We start from the raw sequence: 23,863 nt of genomic DNA, 5'->3' as shown, positions 1-23,863 counted from the left end.
ATTGTTACCCTCGGTAATCAAGGAAACAATTTTTTATAAAAGGCTGTTGGATGATACTGATCTCAGGAGAGGATCTGGGCCGGGTGGGGGCTTTGGGAATGAAGAGGAGGGCAGTGTCTGCTGGGGGCAGGCAGGGCAAGTGGAGCTGAGCCGTCCAGCCCACCAGCTGTTCCAGCCCTCCAATTCCTCCATTCCTCTCTGGCCTCAGTCTTCCCTTATGCCGATGGGGCCATCTCTGGTAGGGAGGGTCTGGCAGGAGCTGATGAAGTGAGGCATGGCTCCTGGGCCGTGAGGGTGGCTGTGAGGGTAGCTGCGTCCCTGCCCCTCCCTGCCTGGTGCCCGAGCAGTCTCGTCCATCTCCTGAGGCCTCTGCAGGGCATAGAGAGGGGTTCCTCATGGAGTGCGGACCTGATTTTTTTCCCCAAGTGATGTCTTGGCTCTAAATAACATCTCCAGGATTAATGGTGCCAGCCCCCAACAGCACCAGGTGATTGAAAAAATGGTTTTATGGCCCCGTGGGTGAAATTCAACTTGCATCTGAGGTGTATTTCCAAGATGGGATTTTCCTCCCTGGGAGAGGCGGCACATTCCACACTAATTATAATGGCAGCTCCTCGACATTCATCACCCATAGTGGGGGGGACACCTGTCTGGGGCACAGGGGCAGGGTGTCCCTGGGGTAACCTCCAGGTCTCCTAATCTCAGCAGACTCTGGGGGGCTGGTTCTAGGAGATGCGCCCTCACGCAGTGCAGGGCCAGGGGAGGGGGAGGCGGGAGCCCCCAGGAAATGAACAAACTCTAGCTGGGCTGCGCCAGGGAGGAGGCTGGAAGGAGGCCCCAGGCTGAGGGTAGGACCCGGCTAGTGCTTGCCCAGGGACCCACAGGCCCCTTGCTGAGCAGACTCCAGCGAGGGGCCTGGCCCATCTTGTTGCAAGAGGCTGGAGTCCTGGGCTGAGCTGGGCAGTTGACCTTGGATCTGACTGTCTCCCCTGAAATTCCTTTTACCCCAACTCAGGCTCCTGCAGTCCCGCACAGCGCCCAGCCAGGATGGGCAGGAGGAAGCCCTTCCTCCGACGGGCCCTCACCGCACCCTGCCTGAGGGGCCTTGAGCCCCAGGGCTCTTGTCTCAGCACTTGGCCGTGGAGATTCGGGAACTATGGGAGTTTGGGGGATCTCGGTGGCTGAGGGCTGTGCTCATGAAGGACTCCTTGAGTTTGGAAGATGAGGCTCACCTTCTGCACAGCCAATAGGTCATTGTCATGGGAACACTGACCACCAGCACCAACCTCCATCCCCCGCCGGGGGCACGTGCCTTTATCACCCATTTCCTAGGTGAGTACAGGGGCTCAAAAAGGGGCAGGGTTCCTGAGGTCACACAGCAGGTGAGCAACAGAGCCAGTGAGGGCCTGGGGGTGTCCTGCCAGGGGCTGAGGTGTGCCCACATGCAAGAATCCAGGGGTCCGTGGGCCAGGGCCCTGCCAAGAGTTGGGGGCTGAGGGAGGGAAGGGGGCATTGCCAACCCTGCAGCCCCTGCCGTGGGGGGTAGAAGAGAGATGCCCCTCTGGGGGCCCGAGGGCAGGGTGGGCCCATGCCGTTCCCTCCCACCTGCCACAGGTGAACCTGACAGGAGTGGGGATGGAGCCTGGCATCCCAAGGGAACCTCCTGGAGTAATCACTCCACATGCTTGCAGTAAATATTGGGCCCTTCTTCCCCTCCCAGTAAATGAACTTATTTACTTTTAACTAAGATTAAATGTTCTCTGTGAGTTCAAGATACTGACTGCCCTGTCAGGCTCAGTCCACGCTCTGCTCTTCCTGCCTCTGGGGGCCACCCCCAGGCAGGGAGGGACCAGGCAGCCCTGGGGAAGCAGAGAAGTTGTTTCTCCAGGAAACTCCAGGAGGAGAATCCATTTACATCATCACCACTGTCACCATGAGCACGGCCATAACCACCATCATGGCCAGCTCCACCAGCACCCCATCACCACCAGCACCGGCATCATCACCACCACCACCACCACCACCACCATCACTACCAGCACCATCACCTCCACCACAATCAACACCATCACTGTAACCACAACTTCCATCACCACCACCATTACCCTCACCATCCCCACCATCACCATCACCATCAGTACCACCACATAACCTCTATTTTGACCACCACCATCACCACCACCACCACCATCACCATGATCACCAGCATCACCACCACCACCATCACCATGACTACCATCATCACCACCACAGCCTCCATCACCTCCACCATCACCACCCCCATCACCGCTTCCACACCACCACCGCCAGTAACACCACCTCCATCACTACCTCCATCGCCACCACCATCACCATCACTATCACCATCACTACCTCCATCACCATCACCACACCTCCGTCACTATGGTCGCTGTGACTGAGCCCATCCTCACTACTGTCATCAGCACTGTCATAGTACCATGCTGACAAGCCCACAGTGGGTTTGAGGGCTGCCATTGCTTGGGACTAGTTCCTCAGGCACAGGAGGCTCCACGCTGGTCTGATTGCATTGGAGGGGTTGCCTGACAAAGGTCTTTATGGGGTGCGCATTGTAGAGTGGGGAGGGGGAGGTTAGGGCAGGTCTGGAGGACTTCATGCCATGGGCATTCTCCCTGGCCCCCTTCTGTCTCAGCAGCACCCCACGCTTCTTGACTGAGCTGGAGCAGAGGAAGCAGGCAAGGGTGGGAGGAGGGGCAGGGGCAGGAGGAGGGACAGGGGCAGCCACAACCATGTCCACCTAGGCTGGAGCACAGCCCCTGAGCCTCCCTAAAGTGAGGGGCCACCCAGAGGAGGCACCTAACCATTCTCTCCTCCAGACTCCACCCAGTGCTTGGATAGCCAGCGGGGTAGCTTGGGGTTGGGGCTGGGCACTCAGCCAAAGGGGCCTGAGAGCATGCCGTGTGCAGAGCCTGCTCCCATGAGGTGGTGAGAGCCTGCTGCACCGGTCTCCTGCCCCGAGCCTTGGCTTGCTCATCTATGAACGGGTGACATGGTGCCTGCTGCACAGCAGGCCACAAGAGCAGAGCGACAGGACACAGTGAGGGGCGGTAAGTTGCTGCCTGGTAAGAGAGCTGTGGGCTGGCCTCAAGGGGTAGCCTGTGTCCTCTCACTGAGAATAGTGGGAAGCGAGCTGCGAGCTTGGGCCCACAGTGGTGGTCTTAGGCTGCCGTGGTCACATAATGCCACCTCCCAGTGCCTGCGGCACCACCCCTGGGCTCCGCAGCCCCAGCCAGCCGTCCATGTGGCCCATCCTGTCCTCTCCAGGCCTGTCTGTGTGCACCCAGTGGAGGGTCTCCTGTCTCCTGTGGCTCCCTGAGGCTGCTGGTCACAGGGCTGATGAGGACACTGGAGACCGCTGCGGGGCTAGGCAGGGGCCCTGTGGGAGTGCAGCAGCCTGGAATCTGCAGCTGGGGCTGACCTAGCACAGCAGGCCACTGGTGCCACCTCTCACGTGGCAGGCGCTTTGCAGCCTCCCACTGCAATCCCAGCAGGCCTCGGTGCCAGGGCGGCCCCATCCTGGGGGCCATTGAGGACCTGCATAGGCCACAGGGCTCACGAGCATGGGCACACCAGGGCCCGGTGGGAGCAGCTGGAGGGAGGGTTCAGTCACCCAGGCCTGCCCAGAGCTCTGCCCAGGGCCCAGGATGAACTGATGGGGGCAGCCTGCAGGCGGTGCCAGCGAGAGTGGGCGGTCCCCACAACAGGGGGGCCCTAGCCAGCCTCACCCAGAGCAGGGAGGGCATGTGTGGAGATGCAGGAAACCTCTCCCATGTCCAGGAAATATTATTAACAAAAATTTTAAATCTTGGTGACATTCCCGATGGCCAGATAATTAATATAACAGCAGATAATAATTAATTATTAATAACTGCACTGAATAGTTTTCAAAGTAATTGTGATAAAGAGAATGTTAAATGAAAACTCATCAAAGTTGCTGATGCCCTGCACAGTGAGGGCACCTTGGTGCTGGGGGTGGCCACATCGACTGGGCCGAGACTGGCCCCCCCGGGCCCACTGTGTCCTGGTGCCACGTATTAGGGGTTGTTACCCATACTTGGAGTGTGAGGACCCCCCCACAACACACACGGGGTGAGGACCCTGCACGCACATGCAAAGGCAGGGGTGTTTCTTAGTACTGGGCCAGGTGGGCAGAGTCTGTGTCTCTTCCTGCCTCACTGGGATTGTGGATGGCCATGGGGTTGGCTCAAGAGTCTGCCCTGTGCCTGCAGGTGTTCTGGATATCTGGGCTAGTGGGTGGGGGTATTATCTGCCCCATGAGCCAGTCTCTGGTTCTTCTATTGCCCCAGACCCTCCAGGCCTTGGGTGAACCCCCTCCACCATCCAACTTGACCTGCCATGTTCCTGGGATCTAGCCCAGGACTACTTCATCCAGCAATTCTCACTAAAGTGTGAGTGGCTGCTCGGCACTACCGTAATCCTTGCCGCCTCATGTGTTTATTGGTGTGAAGCCTTCAGCTGCAGAGGGATGAAGAGGGTGGTCCCAGGCAGAGCAGGCCTGCTCCCTCCACCCTCAGGCTACTGACTCTGCAGCTCTGGACAGTGGCTGGGAGCTGCCAGGAGCCCAAGTAGGAGCAGGACCTGGGGATCTCCTCCCCACACATAAGCCGGTTTCTCTGATCCTGGTTCCTTGCCCTGTCTGGCCTGCCTTCCAACTGACACCACCATGTGGCTCCCTCACCTCATTGAGCAGGACTGTTGCGGTAAACTGAGGAACGGAGAGACCAGTATGAGAAACAGGAGGATTGTTTATTTTAGGTATGCGCCGGCTCAGTGGATTCATATCCAAGAAGCTGAGCATTAAACAAAGAGAGAGCGGGGGTTTTTATGAGCGGACTTACAATAAATAAAAGCAGTTACTCACGTGATAGGTCACATAATCTATAGCATAGCATAACTTGTGGCCTTGTAGCTGCATTGAAAGAAAAACAAGAACTGGCTAAATACAGACATTTATAAAACATAATCATGCATTTGGACCCATTCCACAGATGGAGAAGATGAAGCACAGGAATGGCATAAATGACTTCCTCCATGTTGTACATGCAGTAGGTGCTAGATTCTGGCACCAAAGCCAGTGCTTTGTCCTCTTCCCCTTTCCTCAGTGGCTTTCCTCTCTTTACCTGCCCCAAAGGCTGTAATCTCTAACATGACCCTAAGAAAGAGAATGGAACGGATTTCTTATTAAATATATAAATAGAGATAATGCCATCCGAATAACGTTTTATGTTCCCTGGTCCCAGTTTTTCTAATCAATAAAGTTTTTAACTCTTCCCTCCTTTTTTTTTTTTTTTTTTTTGATGCAGAGTCTCATCCTGTCACCCAGGCTGGAGTGCAGTGGTGCAACCTCAGCTCACTGCAACCTTCGCCACCCGGGCTCAAGTGATTCTTGTGCCTCAGCTTCCCAAGTAGCTGGGATAACAGATGCCTGCCACCATGCCCGGCAATTTTTTGTTTAGTAGAGACAGGGTTTCACCATATTGGCCCAGGGTGGTCTTGAATTCCTGAGGCTCAAGCAATCCACCCGCCTCAGACTCCCGAAGTGCTGGGATTACAGGCGTGAGCCACCGCTCCTGACCCTTCTTTCTCTTCCTTCTTCATCTTTCATCCTTTCTCCTCCTTCCCCTTCTCCCTTCCTCCTCCTCTTTCTTCTCCTCCTCCTCTTTTTCTCCACTTCTCCTCCCCTCACCCCCTCCATTCCCCTTTTCTCCCCTCTCCTCCCCTCCCTCTGAAGGTAGAGAGCTTTCCTCTGAAACACCTTGAGCTGTTTTTGCTTTTAGACATGGCTTACAACGGTTTCCATCTTCCTGTGGGTCACAGGTTCACTGATATTTAGTGAACAATTTCTGAGCACTTTGAAACTTGAAATATGCTAATGCTCACTGTTCTATGAGCTTTAGATATAGAATTTTGTTTAAACCTCATAAAACTTCGTGAGTGAGATAGTTTCCTTCTTCACATTTACAGATGGGAAAAATGAGCCTTAGGTTAAGTAAACTGCCCAAGGTCACACAGCTAGTCAGTGGCAGAGCTGGGAATCAAACCCAGGCACTCAGGTGCCAGAGCCTACATGCTTCACCCTGGGCCTTCAAAAGATGAAACATCACACCCTGCTTAGCAAGTGGGACATTTATATTTCATCTGAAGAACGTGTGCCCCAAACTGCATGGGGAGGGGAGGTGGTGCCTGGTGGGCTGATGGGACATTCCTGTCTCCTCCTCAGGTTTTGTTGTGGTTCCCAGGCGGTGCCTTCGAGACTGGCTCAGCCTCCATCTTCGATGGGTCCTCCCTGGCTGCCTATGAGGACATGCTGGTTGTGATCGTCCAGTACCGGCTGGGAATATTTGGCTTCTTCACGTGAGTCTCTTCAAATGATCGACATCCCAGATCCCCAAGGGGCAGCAGTGCAGTAGCCATAGACAGTGCCCAGCAACCTAAGAAGGAGTGAGCCTTCCAGGACATTGAACAAAACTGGCCCTAGTTCCTTAGGTAATTTTTGCTGCCGTAGCAGATAAATCCCCAAATTTTGGTGGCTTAACACAATAAAAATCTTTTTCTCACTTGAGTAAAGTTTAATTGAGCATCCCTGATCAGCAGATATTCTTCCCCATGGTCAGCCAGGGATCTGGCTCTTTACATCTTGAGCTCTGATGTGGATTCTCTAGGGCCCCGGATCTTCTGCATTTGGCAGGTGGGCGGAGAAAGCATGGAGGACCATGCAAGGGAGAGTCTCCTGGCCCAGCCTGCAGGTGGCACTCGTCACTTCTGTTCACTCACCATTGGCAGAACTCAGTCACATGGCCACATCCAGCTGCAAGCGAGCTGGGGCAATGTAGCCCCACTGCATGCCCTGGAAGACAGGACACTGTTTGTGTGAGCAGTTGGTAGCGTCTACCTGAGCCTCACCCCAAGGCTTCTCGAATGCTCACCTGAGAATCATCACTCCATCACAGTGGCTTCCCTCCTCCAATCATGCCTAACATGTATTGGGTTATCAATGAACCAGGCATGCATTATTTCAACTCATCCTCAAAATAATCCTTCAAGGAAGATTCTCTGTTGTTATCTTCATTTCACAGCTGGAAAATGGAGGCCCAGAGAGGCCAAGCAACTTCCCAGGGGTCACAAAACAGAGCTAGGTCTCTTGACCACTTCTATTATCCTGCCTAAAACATGGCAGGAGAAGTCCTGACCAGGGACCAATGTAAGCAAAGAGAAGTGAGAGGTGGGGCCAGGATTATGCTTGGGGGTCACTGTCACATACTATGGGAAAATCAGCAATGATTCAAAATATGAATCCTGCCCTACAGAGGCTCCTGACTATGGGGGACATAATGCAGGGACAAAAATTTCCACATTACCAAGAAGGACATGGTTAATTCTCCAAGAATGAGAGGCCATGGGGCTGCGGAAACAGAGGAATGAGTTGCAAGGGATTGGGGAGGCTTCGGAAGAGGGGTGGCATTGGAGTTGCACCTGAAGGATGTGGTTGGGTTTGAGGAGAAGGGGTTGAGAGAACGTGTGCTCGGCAAAGGGTGCTACCTGTGCAAAGGTTAGGAAGTTGGAAGGGAGGTAGCAACACATGAGGATGAAGCAATACTTTTGCAAACTGCACTGGGCCTGTAGGCCTGGAATGTGGCTCTGGGAGTGCTGTGCAGGCAGGACAGGCTGACGGGGTGCCCTGACCCGAGCAATTACACTTCTAGCTGCTCTATACATTAGGATTCTGCGTAAGATTCCTTTGATAGGAACGTTTTCAACAATTGTTTATCATATCTGGTTTGAGCATAGGTAGATGAAGCTACAGCAGGAGATGGATGCAGAAAGGCAAGGACAGGCCTGACAGGGAAAGACCTTGAATGCCAGGCCGTAAATGGAGTTTGGGCTTTATCCAATACAGATTGAGGGACCAGGAGTACCTTTCTCAGAGTAGTGTACCAGGAACCTCCAGAGCAGAACGGAGGCTGAGCCAGGGGTGCCCAGCTGCAGATACGGACCCCCAATGGGAGGCACCGTCTTGATGCGGGCCACGGGGTGGTTGAACCACAAAAGCAATAGCTAACATGTATATAACAGGTGTATATGACATGCTTATTGTCTGCCTGGCACCGTCAATCTTCACAACCATGTGGAGTGGGCACTATCCCCATTTTAGACATGAGAACCATTGAAGCACAGCAGGTTAAGTGACTTGCCCAAGGTCACCCAGATGATAAGTGGCCAGGCTGTGAATCCTGTGCTCGAGGCTGAGATAGTAACCACTAAGGTATAATGCTTCTCAGGATAAACAGATGGAGAAATGGGGACCAGGGTGGGAGCCACAGAAGAATGGAGGTAAAATTGGCAGGGCTTGACTCTTGACCAGATGCAGGGGACTGGGAGAGAGAAGGTGGAGGCAGAGCCAGCTCAGTGGTCATGGATAGAGGAGGGAACCCAGGGGAAGGAGCAGTCTGGGGAACTGGGGAATGGAGTGGAGTAGAATGTGCCCCAGGATGACTTGCACTGATGGTGTGCACTGCGTGCATGCTTTCGGTCTAGACATTTCTTTGGTTCTGTGGGATTTCCAGTTGTTTCATTTGTTCTCCCATTAATTCCATCCCAGGAAACATGCAATTGTGCAGGAGCAGCAGCATGGGGGCGTGGGATCCCAAATCTGCAGCTTTCTAGCTCTTGAGCCAGGGGGTTTAACCTCTCAGTGCCTGAATTAAAGAGTTTATGTATCCATTCATCATCCTGACAGCATGCTCACAGGTTTAGTGGAAGGGAGTTGGCATGAGCTGCTGCTGTGGAGAAAAGCAGCCTCTGCCCAAACACTTCCCAGCAGAGAGGGAGCACGGGGTGGTGGGATAAACATCCCAGTCTCTCTCTAGCCCACCCTCACAGCACACAGCTGAGGCCTGGGTGATGACATTCCTAGAGGTCAGCTTTTGGGGGACAGGGCAGAGAAGGGTGGAGAGGACCCAGAGAAGCAAAGGGAGAAAACCCAGCACCATCTACCTCATAGGTGTGAGGGTTGTAGGAGTATTAGCCTTAAAGCCCTTAGAACAGTGTCCGGTACCTGCTGCACCTGCTATTATTGTTATTATGATTATTATTAATTTAGTTTCATGGAAAATTCTGTGCTCAGAAAACCCTTGCTTTCTAGTACAGACCAACTCTCAGGAAAGGATTCATGGATTCCAGACCAGCCTGGGCAACACAGGATTCACGCACTGGGATTCATGGATTCTGAGGAGCCTATGAATACTTGAAATTGCACCTACAGTATTGTATGTGCGTTCTTCTCGGGTGCATAGCTTTCATCAAATTCTCAAATCCAAATCCCAGCAAAGTGTGAGAACTGAGCCCGGTTTCCCCAGCTCCTCCAGACCTCTGACTCTCAGTCCCCTCCCCACTGACATCTGCCCACAGCCTCTGCTGAGAACTTCCAGGGCTGTGGGAAACACGCCATGGCCAACTGAGAATTCTCACCCTGCCTCTTGTCCTCAGCACATGGGATCAGCACGCTCCCGGGAACTGGGCCTTCAAGGACCAGGTGGCTGCTCTATCCTGGGTCCAGAAGAACATCGAGTTCTTCGGTGGGGACCCCAGCTCTGTGACCATCTTTGGTGAGTCCGTGGGAGCCATAAGTGTTTCCAGCCTTGTAAGTTCTCTGCTTTGTGATTTGAATGAATCTCAGTGTGGGAGGTCCAAAAATGATGATGAGGAGTCACTAACATTTGATTGGTGCCTTCATGCACAACAGACACTTTAAGGCACATTGTCTTCTTCAAGCCTCACAAACACATCATGAGTTAGGAGCTCAGTCTGATTTCATGGACAAGATAGCCGTCACTGGGAAACTTTAAATAAATCACCCAAGATCACATAGTGAGTAATAATTTGAGGAAAACTCCTTTATATTTGTAGAGGAGAAACCCTAGTATTCAATTACCAGAGCGGTAATTACTTGTTTAATAGAAAACTCAGCTAAAGCATGAAATATCAAAAGATGCATATAAATATTAAATTTTAATTTTATTTTAACTTAATTTAAACCATAAAATGTACATTCCCTCACCAACAGTTTGATACAGGGCCTTATGTTTGCAGAGCTGGTCTGCTGACTGGAGTTCCAACATGGATTATCTTGCATAAACCACTGCAAATGTTGCTGTCCTCAAATTGCAGTTTCAGTTTCTTTACGGTGGGCACAAACTTAAAGATGCCTGAGCACATTTTGGAGTTTTATACTTTTCCTGCAAATATTCTACTTATTTCTTGCCCACACATAATTTGACAGCCATATATATATTATATATATATAAAATATCTAGTATATACACACACACATAGTGTATATACACTGCTATATATGGTATATATACTATATATAGTAGTGTATATACACTATACACTATATATACACTATATATACTATATATGTGTGTATATATACTAGATATTTATATATCTATATATACTAGATATTTATATATATTAGATATATATATAGCTGTCAAATTATGTGTGGACAAGAAATAAGTAGTATACAGTATATATATAGTATATATACATACACACGTATATAGTGTATATAGTGTATAGTGTATATACACTACTATATATAGTATATATAGTATATAGTATATATATACCATATATATTATATATATAATATCTAGTATATACACACACATAGTGTATATACACTACTATATATATAGTATATATACTATATATAGTAGTGTATATACACTATACACTATATACACTGTGTATATATACTAGATATTTATATATCTATATATACTAGATATTTATATATGTACTAGATATTTATATATATACTAGATAATATTTATATATATATAGCTGTCAAATTATGTGTGGACAAGAAATAAGTAGAATATATACATATATAGTGCATATAAGAATATATACATATATAGTGCATATATGCACTATATATACTGTGTATATACACACATGCACATATATTTATATACATATATATACATACACAGACATATAAGGCTTTTTTTGTTTGTTTTGAGACGGAGTTTCACTCTTGTTGCCCAGGCTGGAGTGCAGTGGTGCAATCTAGGCTCACCCCAACTTCTGCCTCCCAGGTTCAAGCTTTTCTCCTGCCTCAGCCTCCCGAGTAGCTGGGATTACAGGCATGTGCCACCATGCCCGACTAATTTTGTATTTTTAGTAGAGATGGGTTTTCTCCATGTTGGTCAGGCTGGTCTCGAACTGCCGACCTCAAGTGATCTGCCCGCCCTGGCCTCCCAAAGTGCTGGGATTACAGGCGTGAGCCACCGCGCCCAGCGACAGCAATATATTTTTTTGAGACAAGGTCTCACTCTGTTGCCCAGACTGGCATGCAGTGGGGTGATCATAGTTCATTGCAACCTGAACTCCTGGGCACAAGTAATCATCATGCCTCAGCCTCACAAGAAGCATGTGCCACCATGCCCAGCTAATTTTTATTTATTTATTCATTTTTTTAGAGATGGGGTCTAGCTATATTGCCCAGGATGGTCTTGAACTTCTGGGCTCAAGTGATCCTTTTGCTTTGGCTTCCAAAAGTGCTGGGATTATAGGCGTGAGCCACTATGCCTGGCCCGAGAGCAATATTTTTTAGCCATCCTTTATCAAGAATTTTTTTCCAGACATAATTTGATTTTCTTTTACACATACAGTTCATTTGTTCTCATGATATTTCATTGATTATGTAATTACAATAACAAGTGCAGTTGACAAAACAGGTTTGGAAGCAAACACACCTGATTCTTGGCAAGAAACTGATGAGAAGAGAAATGGACAGAGGTGCTAGAAAATGGTCCATTGGCTCAGTGTGGTCACCATTTCCTTGGCATCAGTTGGCAGGTTAATTGCAGAAATCAGTGACATGGTGTTAAGAGAGCTTCTGCTGACTAGCACTTAACAATATATGTGGTCTTTTTACATCTTCAAAATTACCTTCTAAAGTGGATTATATTAACCTAACTTTTCATATATTATAACAGCCATTATTTCATGAACGAAATTTGACCAGACCACCTGTGAAGACTTCTATGTTTGTCACTGCCCCTGCTCCTCCAATAATTTTGTGATACGGGCTCAATTTTTACTCCAGTTTTACAGGGGAGTGAACTGATACTTAGAAATATTAAGTAACTTGGCTGGGCGCAGCGGCTCACGCCTGTAATCCCAGCACTTTGGGAGGCCAAGGCGGGCGGATCACGAGATCAGGAGATTGAGACTATCCTGGCTAACACGGTGAAACCGTGTCTCTACTAAAAATACAAAAATTAGCTGGGCATGGTGGTGCGTGCCTGTAATCCTAGCTACTCCAGAGACTGAGGCAGGAGAATCACTTGAACCTGGGAGTTGGAGGTTGCAGTGAGCCGAGATCACGCCACTGCACTCCAGCCTGGCCACAGAGTGAGATTTCATCTCAAAAAAAAAAAAAGAAAAAAAAAAAGAAATATTAAGCAACTTGTCCGAGGTTACACAGCTAGGAAGTGAAGGAGCTAGAAATCACATGCCTGAACATTTGACATCAAAGTTCATGAAGAACCAGGGCTCAGAGAGGTTAAGTAACTTGCCCAAACCTTCACAGCTAGTCCTTTAACCCCCGCCAAAAAGGGTTTTTTTTCCCCTCTAAGTTTAGAGCTTTTATGGAGGCTTCCTGGGAAGGTTTCTTTGAAGAGGGATGAATGGTATTTGTGATCGGTGGGGAGTCCTCTGCGTAACCTTTCCTGGATCTTCTGTGTTCTCTCTCCAGATTCTGTCTCCCATGGCCGAAGGCTTATTCCACAAAGCCGTCATGGAGAGTGGGGTGGCCATCATCCTTTACCTGAAGGCCCATGATTATGAGAAGAGTGAGGACGTACGAATACTGTTAACACCTTGCTAGCTTCCTCTCCTCAGTTAGGGGAGAATGTGTTCAGGCACCTTCTCACCATGTGCCATCTATCCCACGATATTTGTCATCTGTCTCTTAATTATCTACTACAGAGTGAGGCCCTAGAGACCAGGATCTCTCTGTCCTTCAGGCCCCCAGCATAATAAGTGGTATATATCAGGCAGCTATAAATGTTCTGGATGAATGAGCTAATGAATGAGCTGTTTCATTCAATGCATATTAATTAAGCACTGGGCTGTGGAGCCATCTCTTGAGTATTAATGATTTTAGTGGTAAATTTTCTTAAACATTTTATAGAAAGTAACAGTATATAACCAAGAGCAGAAACATAGAGTTATGAAATTGTAAAAAAAAATACCCTCAATACGTGGAAACATTGATTTTGGTAACATTCTCCATAAAGCTGCTTTCAGTTTGGGCATATGTTTATTCATTTGACACATCACTGAATGCCCACTATTTTCCCTGCTCTGTTAGAACTTTGGGATTTATCAGTGGAGAAAGCATATCCAAACCTGAGGGCAATATAATCTTTTTATCACCTATCCATGGATAGGATTAAATCCTGGAATCCATGGATGGTTTGGGAAGTGGTCCCACAATTGTACCAGACTCCACATGCCTGCACATTTTCCCAGGGAGGGGGTTTGTAACTTTGATTGGATTCTCACAGTATCCACGACTCCCAGAAGGTTAAGAGCCACCACTTTCAGGGAGTGAGTTCTACAAATATGGAAGGTTCAGTGACAAGGAAAGCAGGTGTTCAGCAATGGGCCAGGCATGGAAGGTGGGGAACATCGAGCTTATAGGAGATTGGATGAGGAAGGCGTTTCTGGGGGCTGCAGTGCCCTGAAAGGACATTGTGGAGAGCAGGACTTGGGCTTTAAAGAATGAGAAGGATTGGTATACAGGCAGGAAAAAAGACAGGTAGGACATTCCAGGCTGTGAGTGGGCCTGGGGCTTGGGCAGGGCTGACAAGCTGAGAATCTGATCTGGAGCCCTGCCTCTACTGACACTGAAGGAGCTTGCAAAGCTGTTCCTCGCTCTTGGTGTTTCTGTCTTCATTTAGCACCTCAAGGTTGGGCTTCTAGACTCTGGAGGAGCCAAGTACCAATGCAGCCAAGTTCACAGGACTGATCTCTTTGTGACCAGGAATCTTGATTCCATTCCATATCCACAGACTGACAAACACCCATCCCCAGCTGTGGTGTTTTCTAAAGATGACAAGGCGAGCCAGGCAAGAGAGTGAGGGTGAGGCAGTGGCAACCTGTCTGCCACGTGCACCTTCCTTTATAGGGGCATGGGGCTAGGCAGGGGTAGCAGGATGGACTTATATATGGAGGACAAGCCTGTGGCTGATAGGAGGGCATTTTCCAGGTTTCATTTTCCTAGATGCTTTCAAAATCATGCTCTGACCTGGTCTTTCTCTGAAAATAGCTGCAGGTAGTTGCACAATTCTGTGGGTACAATGCATCAGACTCTGAGGCCCCACTGAGGTGCCTGAGGACAAAATCCTCCAAGGAGCTGCTGACCCTCAGCCAGGTGAGGACAGAGGGGGCAGTTTTGGGGACAGGGTTGCCCTTTGAATAGAGAGGTGAACAAATCCTACCCTTTTGTTATTTATTTGGATTTGGAACATGGAAAAGAGGAGGACTGGGGATACTTGGTAACAGCTGTAAAAAAAATAAGTAGGGGTATAGAACCCTTGTAGGTAATTTAAGAACATTGTTGGGGCAGGGGTGCAACTTAGCCTGGAGAAGATTCAGCAAAGTACAAGGCTTGTCTCTAAGTCCCTGAAGGCATCTCACTGGAGAGAGGGACCACACTTGTTATGCATGCTTCCAGAAGCTGAAGTCAAGATCACAAGCTAGAAGTTCTATTCAGAAGTCATTTTAGTTTTGTGTAACTGAAAACTTTTCAAGACCTCAGTTGTCTGGAAAAGGACTGGGCTCCTTTAGAAGGTGGTGAGATGCCCACCTCTCCAGGTATTCAAGCAAAATATAGCTGACCACTGACAGACTTTCAATCAGTGACAGTTAATTGAACCGGGTGATCTTTTATGTCCCTTCCAACCTTGAGAGCCTTTGATGACAGTCTTTGAATGAACAAGATCATTATCTTTCAGATTTCAACATTTGCTAGTTAGGTGCTGTGTACTGAATGTCCACTCTGAGCCATGCTAGCCTCAGTGAAATGGATAAGTCCTGGACCTGACGTTGTATTGAACTCTTCCATGTGCTCCTTTCTACCCAAATCCCAAAACAGAAACCTGAAGAAACCGTGATTAGAGCTGAGTGTTGCTTTCTGAGACCCCAGAAATATCCAGGCATTTCCCAGGCACTGTGTCTCAGGGAGACATCTGAGAAAGGTGTTCACACCAACCCCTACAGTCCTAGCTACTCCATCTACCACCATTTTTCCCTTTGTATTTGGCCAGTGGTTCTCAAACTTGAACATGCATCAGGATCACCTGGAGGACTGGTTATGTTGTATCCAGGTGAGTTAAGGGAACGCCACACTTTGAGAAGAATTAAGAGTCCTTTATTAAGCCGGCGGCCAGAGAGACAGCTAATGCTCAAAATTCTCTCTGCCACGAGGAAGGGGCTCAATTAACTTTTATACCTAGGTTTAGGAAGGGGAGGGGGACTCAAATGTAATAATTCTACAGAAGTAAAAACATGCAAGAATCAAAAGAAGCAAAATGGTTACAGAGTGATAAACAAAAGACAAATAGTTACAAGAAGAGCAACGGTATCAGGTGCAAGGTTCTAAATCTTTCATTATAATTAGATATAGAGTCTATGCAGGGCATGAACTCAAGGTTTTATGTTGTTATCTCTTGGAGAGAAATCCTGGGAACTTCATACATTGTTGGTGCTAGTACCTTATCAGTTAATTGGGCTCCTTTGAAATGCTGAGGATCTGTTTACACAGGCCAACTCCTTACGAAAGGGTGTTGGATGAGGAGCCCTCAGTGTCTTGTAAATTAAGGGATCAACTGGAGTTTGTCCAGCCTTCCTAGCTGGAGAGAGTCTTATTTACATGAGAAGCAAGGCTAGGTGATTAAAGAGACAAGCAGGATAAAATTCAAAGTAACGAGTTAAAGTAAAAACAAGGTTAGGCATTTCAGTTACAAGAAGGTTCCTGGGCTACACCCCGACCCTAGAGTTTCTTATTGAGGGCCTGAAGTGGACCTGAGAATGTGCATTTCTAACAAATTCCCAGATGATGCTGATGCTGCTGGTCTAGGAACCACACTTTGAGAATCTCTGTGCTAGGCTGTATTAGTCTCTTCTCACGCTGCTAATAAAGACATACCTGAGTCTAAGTAATTTATAAAGGAAAGAGGTTTAATAAACTCACAGTTCCACATGGCTGGGGAGGCCTCACATCATGGTGGAGGGTGAAGAAAGAGCAAAGGCACGTCTTATATGGCAGTGGGCAAAAAAAAAAGCTTGTGCAGGGGCGCTCCCCTTTATAAAAACCATCAGATCTCATGAGCTTTATTCACTATCATGCAAATAGCATGAATAAGACCTGCTCCCATGATTCAATTACCTCCCACCAGGTCCCTCCCACAATATGTGGGAATTATGGGAGCTATAATTTGAGATTTGGGTGGGGACATAGCCAAACCATATCCGAGGCCACTGTTTTTCTTAGGTAGATATTCCCGTTTAGCAGATAAGAAAATAAGGCACACACAAGTTTAGCCCCCTTGCCCAGGTACATGGCAGAGCTGCCAGGGACTGATATATTGAGCTGGGCCCATAGTGTTTGCTTTTACTTTTTAAGTGCATTTAAGCCAGTGCTAGACTGGGTTGGCTTTGCTTGGCCAGGATTTGGGACAGCAGATTTTGTGAACAGAAATAGCTGCTGGTTTTTTTTTCTTCCCTATTACAGAAAACAAAGGCTTTCACTCAAGTGGTTGATGGTGCTTTCTTTCCTAATGAGCCTCTAGATCTATTGTCTCAGAAAGCATTTAAAGCAATTCCTTCCATCATCGGAGTCAATAACCCCGAGTGTGGCTTCCCGCTGCCTATGGTAAGAATTGTGGCTGTCCATACTGCCACTCCCTCAAACTGTGATGCAGCTCTTGGCTTCAACAGCTGGGCATTTCCACAGGTGACATCCACTGTTGTAAGTGCTGGAGCCCACCAGCCAAGCACACAGTGATCACCTTTCCTCTCTCTGAAAGAGGATAAGCGAGGACCAGGCCAGGCCAGTCACAGCAAGTGTCTGCCTTGCTCCTCATGTGATGAGGTTTAGGGTGGAAGAAACAACTACATAAAAAGGAAAGAGGGGATGGGTCCATTTGGTCTTTGTTCAAAAAATACTATAAATTATTGTTTCCAAAAAATGCAGTTACTACTTCAGAGTTGACATTCAGATAGGTTTGAAAAACTTCAGTCCTTTAAACTTTTCATGTCCAGCCTTGGTTCTAGCATCTTGACATCCAAGAATGCTAAGGTTGTATAAGTTGCAAAATTGTTGAATCATTTTATTTATTCAACAAGTATGTGCTGAGTATTTATTACAGGCTTATAAAAACTGAGCAGTTGGCAGCGAGCGTGGTACCAGCTTTCTGAGCGCTTACACTCTAGTGGGGAGAGACAGAGGAGACACGAGGTTGAGAAGATGATTTCGGAGAGTGATAGATGCTATGAAGGGCACAAGTGGGGAGAGAAGTTATCTTTAGGGAGACAACAGGTGGTTAGGAAAGGCTCCTCTGGGGGAGAGATTGTTGAGCTGAGGCCTGGGTGCCGGGAAAAACCCATGATTTTTTGATTCCATGGTTTAGGAAGACTCTCTTCATTGGAAATAAACTTTTCATCTGTCCTCAGAAGAGTGGAGGCTTCAAATTCCTAATACTGTTGAAGCTCATTTATATAGACTGACCTCATTTTAAGCTGGGGGAAATGGGGTTAAGAAATAAAGAGGTTTGTCAAATTACAAAGCTAGTTGATGGCTGCTAGAACCAGAATCCCGAGTTCATTGGGTTGTGAAAGCATGTTGTACCATTATTAATTTGACCTCCAAGGCAATGTTTTCAAGTGGGACTAGGGATTTTTGTCCTCATGTTGCAGATGAGGCCAGTGAATCACAGTTGATGGCTTAGGTAAGGCCTTTCAGTGATTTCTGGGTGTGTATTAGAAAGAAGAAGGCAGTGCTAGTGATGACAACCACCACTGTAACTACTGTAACCAGTTCCCCAATGCCTTCTAGTGCCAAGCACAGGCAATCCAAGCAGGAACTTGAAAACAGGCATGATTATCCCTATTTTAAAGAAACTGAGGCTCAGAGCAGCTAAAGTGGCTTTCCAGCATCTCCTAGCTAGTAAGGAGACACTGGTGTGTAATTTTTATGCATTTAGGCTCTGTTTTTTATTTTATTTTATTTTATTTTTGAGTCAGAGTCTCACTCTGTTGCCCAGGCTGGAGTGTAGTAGCACAATCTTGGCTCACTGCAACCTCCATCTCCCGGGTTCAAGCGATTCTTCTGCCTCAGCCTCTAGAGTAGCTGGGATTACAGGTGCCTGCCACCACGACTAGCTAATTTTTTTTGTATTTTTAGCAGAGACAGGGTTTCACCATGTTGGCCAGGCTGGTTTTGAACTCCTGACCTCAAGTGATCCACCCACCTTGGCCCCCCAAAGTGCTGAGATTACAGACATGAGCCTGTGCCCAGACTAGGTTCTGCCTTTAAATGCCGAGTTCTCTGCTTACCTGCTGTGTGACATTAGGGAAGTTGCCTACCCTCTCTGAGTCTCCATTCCTTCATCTGTGAAATACGGCTATTCTTAGCACCTACCTCACAGCTATACATCAAACAGTCTGGCATATAGTCAGTCCTCAGTAAATGCTAGATATTGGAGTTATTCAACTGACAGAATTTGCAGAGCTCAAAAGCCTGTGTGGGTGCTGAAATTCCATGTGAATTTGCAGTTAAACCCATTGCTAGCTGTTAGAAACCACAGGAAATCCCCCAGAAACAAATCCCAGCTCCTTAATGTACAAGAAGGTTTTTAGTAGTTAGAATATGCTTGTAGGTAACATGAATGACTCTGAGGTTCCCCTGAGATTCCAGGAGACAGGTATGGCCCTAGTATTCATTTAAGTATTGGCCCTAGTGATTCATTACCCCAAGATTTTCAGCAGAAAACATACCAAGAAAATTTATTTGTCAGGTGGATAGTATTTCTGCTGCCTCACATTTTAAAGCTGTAATTTTGCCAGAAAATGGTAATTTCACAAATATTCACACAAAGCGCTTACTATATACCAAGTACCACTGTAAGAGCTTTACAAATATCAACTCTTTCAGTTCTCATCACCACCCTGGCAGGAGGTACCTGTTGCAAACTCCATCTTACAGATGAGGAGCCTGAGACAGGAAAAGTTGAGTCCCTTGCCAAGTTCTCAGCTGGTGGCCACCAGCCTCACTGCTACTGCCTGACCTCCCACTGTGGCTTCTCAGAGGCCCCACCCGCAAAGGTCGTTAGAAGGAGAACAGCAAATACCAGTTTTGAAATTTTCTGGCTTCTCTTTGAACTTGGTGTCAAAGCCAAGTTGGTGTCTCTTAGGCAGTCAGGGCTACCATAACAAAATACCACAGACTGGGAGGCTTAAATGACAGACATTCATGTTCTCATAGTTCTGGGGGCTGGACTTCTAAGATCAAGGTGCTAATATTGCTTTGTTTGTCTAAACGTTCCTTTCTCATAAGGACATTAGCCAGATTGGATTAGGGCCCACTCTAACGCCGCATTTTAACATAATCTCCCCTTTAAAAGTACTGTCTCCAAATAGTCGCACTCTGAAGTGAAGGGGGGTTAAGACTTCAATGTGTGAATTTTGAGGGGGCCACAACTTAGCTCATAATGGGAGCCTTCCCACAAGGTGGCCACTCGGGCCCCACAAGGCTGCAGGTGGAATGACAGGGAACAGCTGCCTTTTATCAAAAGTGAGAAGAAGAAATTAACTATCTGAGCAGCACACTGAGGCCACTTCCACACGTGGCTGCCTGGGCTGGAGGGCTCCTGCCCTTCCCAGCTTCCCCTGTGAAAGTCAGGTGCCCAGGCCCTCAGGGAGATGGGTTTAACCTTCTGATGACCAGATGGCTTATGGAGGGCACTGCTTCTCTCCACAGAAGGAGGCTCCTGAGATTCTCAGTGGCTCCAACAAGTCCCTTGCCCTCTGTCTGACACAAAACATCCTGGTGAATAGCTTGGGAGGCTGCAGTACTCTAGAGACACATGCACTTTCACAGATAGCCCTGGGTCACACTCAGCGGGAGCAGCCAGGGGCACAGACACTCCTCACTCACTCAGTCATTCAGTAGACCTTTACTAAGCATAGGTGTATTAGTCCACTCTTGCACTGCTATTAAGAAATACTGGAGACTGGGTAATTTATAAAGAAAAGAGGCTTAATTGGCTCATGGTGCTGCAGGCTATACAGGAAGCATGATGCTGGCATCTGTTCAGCTTCTGGGGAGGCCTCAGGAAACTTATAATCATGGTGGAAGGCGAAGGGGAAGAAGGCACGTCTTACGCGGCCAGAGCAGGAGGAAGAGAGAGAGGGAGGTGGTGCCACGCACTTTTAAACAACCAAATCTCATGGGAACTCTATGACGAGAACAGCACCAAAGGAATGGTGCTAACCATTCATGAGAAACCACTCCTATGATCCAATCACCTCCTACCAGGCCCCACCTCCAACATTAGGGATTACAATTCAACATGAGATTTGGTGGGGGACACAGGTCCAACCTATATCAATAGGCCCACAATCCCAATGCACAATCCCCAACCTGGAAGAGCTCCAAAAACTCAGAGGGTTTTTGTAACCCACCCAGCAGCCAAACCACACCTTGACTGATTTGTGGCTATCAGTCATTTTTGTTCTTACACATTCATTCATTCATTTTATTTATCCCAGTATTCAGATGTTTCTCTGTGGATGCATTAATGTGGGTGTTGGGGTGTTACCCCACCCCAAGCCTGTGTGATAACATGCAACATAGGTGCTGCATTGTCTACCTACAGTCTGAAAAACTCTGAATGCTAAAACACACATGGGACTGGGGACCTGTATTCACTACACACCAGCCAGGCATTGGGCCAGGTTCTGACAAGACCAGTTATTTACTCATTCATTCACTCATTTATTGTTCCATCACTAATTCATTCATTCACTGCACAAACTCAGCAGTATCTGGTCTTACTCTAGACAGTAGGATATAGAGATGGATTGCTTTCCTTCCTTTTCTCCTTTTCTCCTTTTTCCATCTTCCTCTTTTCCATAAACATTTATTCAGGGTGGACTCAGTGCTAATGTTCATTTTGCTCATTTGTCCATGGAACACATGTTTAGTGAGAGTCCACATGCCCCTGCATTGCCCTGGGCACTGGGGTGCAATGTGGGGTGGACAGAGATGACAAGACAGTTCAATACAGCACACATGAAGCAGGGGAGTGTCCAAGGCCCTGTGGTGCCCACAGAAGGGGACAGGTGCCTCTCTTGGGGAGAAGGGTTTGGAGGATTAATGGAGCTTGTCTGGTGATGGAAGGGGTGGGTGGAGAAACTGTGAAAAACCAAGAGTACCAACTGGGAGTAGAGGGGTGTGAAGAGATCAGCTGAGGGTTGGCTGCAGCAGGAGAGAATGCTTTCAGCTGTTGTAAGCTAGGTAATAATGAGCGTAGACTTCATCCTAAAGACTGAGAACAGAAGGAAGAAGGACATTATTTGATTTCTATTTTTAAAAAAAGTCCTCTGAAACTGGGCACAGTGGGTCACACCTGTAATCCCAACACTTTGGGAGGCCAAGGCAGGAGGATTGCTTGAACCCAGGAGTTCAAGACCAGCCTGGGCAACATAGGGAGACCTTGTCTCTACAAAAAATAAAAAAATTAGCCAGGCATGGTGGTGTGCATTTGTGGTGCCAGCTACTTGGGAGGCCAAGGCAGGAGGACTGTTGAGCCTGGGAGTTTGAGGCTGCAGGATCTTGCCACTGTACTCCAGCCTGGGCAACAGGGCAAGAGACTATCTCAAAAAAAAAAAAAAAAAAAAAAAAAAAGGAAAACAGAAACACTACAGGCAGAGATCCCTCAGGCCCCCCTTGGTGGAGGGATGTTTGATGAGTTGCAGCTGTCTGATGATGAACTGGGACTAAGGTTGAGAGATATTGATGATGTAAGTCATACAGTGGAATTCTCAGGTGGATTGGAGATGGCCTTATGGAGAAGGTGCTCGATGATCTGAGCCTTAGGGGAGGGGAACAAGTGAGCAGAAGGACATTTCAAGTAGAGTGGGAAGTAGATTGTGCAAGGAAGTGCAAGAGGAATGGAAGGGCATGTGTCTCTCCTGGGCGCAGTGGCATGCTAGGGGCTACTTTTCAAACAGTAAGTAGTTCTCTGATACAGAAGGCATAGCCTTGCTCCAGAACCCTAGGACTTTGCACTCTGACTGTCCTATGGGGGCTTACCTGAGACTCCACACAGCATGTGTACCCACCTTGGACACCTCCGGCACCATGGGGTCTGCTGGTTATATGGCCAAAGAGGCCAGGCCCTTACACCATAGACTGGACCTGCTGCAGAGGCCTCCCTTGCTCTGGCCTGATTAAAAACCATTAGCCTCCTGAGGACGCGATACACGAGTCTGAGCAGCATTCCCGAATGTTATGTACACTGCCTCGCCTCCAAATTCCAAAGAAACCCATCAAGGGCTGTGCTGCTGTCTTAGTGGTAGGGGTTTGAGCTGCAACACCTTTCCAGCATTTCCCAGAGCACCAGATCCCTGAATCTTCATAGAATTTACCATGCACTCTTTGCCATTTGTGCTTGGGGAAAGTTGAGAGGGAGAAGCCTGGGAGGCAGGCTGGTGCCAGGTCAGAGAAGCATCAGATGTCCTATTAAGGCACTCAGCAATGGGGCCTGGGTGAACCAACAGGACTGAAAACGTGCTCTGGGTCAAGCAGCATGCTTTTCTCTTCATATCTTCTATAATCCTCCACATCCCTAGAGATGAGGAAACTGAGGCTCCAAGAGACCAACTAGCTTAGGTAAGATAATAGCTAAGTGCAGGAAGCAGCGCTGGTACCGGAGCAGGACTGGTTTCATGGATGTTCTGCCTGTGTAGTCACAGAGGACCTTGTTGCTCAGAAGGGTCCTACATTTGGTTGAATGCTCTGCTGTCACCATCTTGAAATTCTTAATGATTTGTGAACGAGGAGCCTATGTCTTCACTTTGCACTGAGCTCCACAGATGATGCAGCCAGTAGTGGCTCATTCTGAGACACAAGAGAGAGGCCAGGAGCATGAGATTTGGATGCAAATACACTTTTGAAAGAATCATGGTTCTTCCAGGTGGGCCCAACGACTTCACCTCTCTAAGACTCAGTTTCTTAATCTGAGAAATGGGGCTAGTTTTGATACTTGCATCACAGGGTTGCTGTGTGGGTTAAATGAAGCAATGTGGGTAAAGCATTCAGAATCATACCTGCAGAGTTAACGTGTTGGCCATTGTGGTTGACCTGGATCTCCTATGACTATGATTTTTTTACAGCACATCCTGCCCAATTATTTGCACCTTGTGGCTGGTGAATACTTCCATGACAAGCACTCCCTGACTGAAATCCGAGACAGTCTTCTGGACTTGCTTGGAGATGTGTTCTTTGTGATCCCTAAGCTGATCACAGCTCAGTATCATAGAGGTGAGTCTCTGAGCACCCCGCTTCAGGACGACAGCCCAGCGAGGTTGATGGCCAAGGAGATCCATGTTGTCTACTGACTGGCTGCCTCCTCTGCCTCTGTTTCCTCATGGAGAGGGCATTCCCAGGTGTGTGTGGATGGAACTGTACCATGGTGAGCTGTGCCATTCACCTGCC

The 23,863-nt window shown here is 47.9% G+C and overlaps 1 pseudogene across 1 annotated transcript, besides 1 other annotated feature; it reads left to right on the top strand.

The window, feature by feature from the left end:
• Window positions 1-1,168: 1,168 nt before the first annotated feature.
• Window positions 1,169-23,689, top strand: CES5AP1 (carboxylesterase 5A pseudogene 1; annotated as a pseudogene). The gene is made up of 7 exons (NR_037839.1): window positions 1,169-1,332; window positions 6,281-6,414; window positions 9,547-9,665; window positions 12,833-12,937; window positions 16,877-17,017; window positions 20,123-20,191; window positions 23,542-23,689. The product of NR_037839.1 is annotated as a carboxylesterase 5A pseudogene 1 (transcript).
• Window positions 15,472-16,206: an enhancer, noted in NCBI's record as "OCT4-NANOG hESC enhancer chr22:23709276-23710010 (GRCh37/hg19 assembly coordinates)". NCBI's record gives its function as "activates a minimal SCP1, AML or CMV promoter by ChIP-STARR-seq in primed H9 embryonic stem cells {active_cell/tissue: H9 hESC(primed)}" and the evidence as "EXISTENCE:reporter gene assay evidence [ECO:0000049][PMID:30033119]".
• Window positions 23,690-23,863: the final 174 nt, after the last annotated feature.

This window comes from Homo sapiens, chromosome 22, assembly GCF_000001405.40.
Source record: "Homo sapiens chromosome 22, GRCh38.p14 Primary Assembly".
Taxonomy (NCBI): domain Eukaryota; kingdom Metazoa; phylum Chordata; class Mammalia; order Primates; family Hominidae; genus Homo; species Homo sapiens.
The sequence above is the reverse complement of the archived record's forward strand: the minus strand, read 5'-3'. Positions and strand labels throughout refer to the sequence as shown.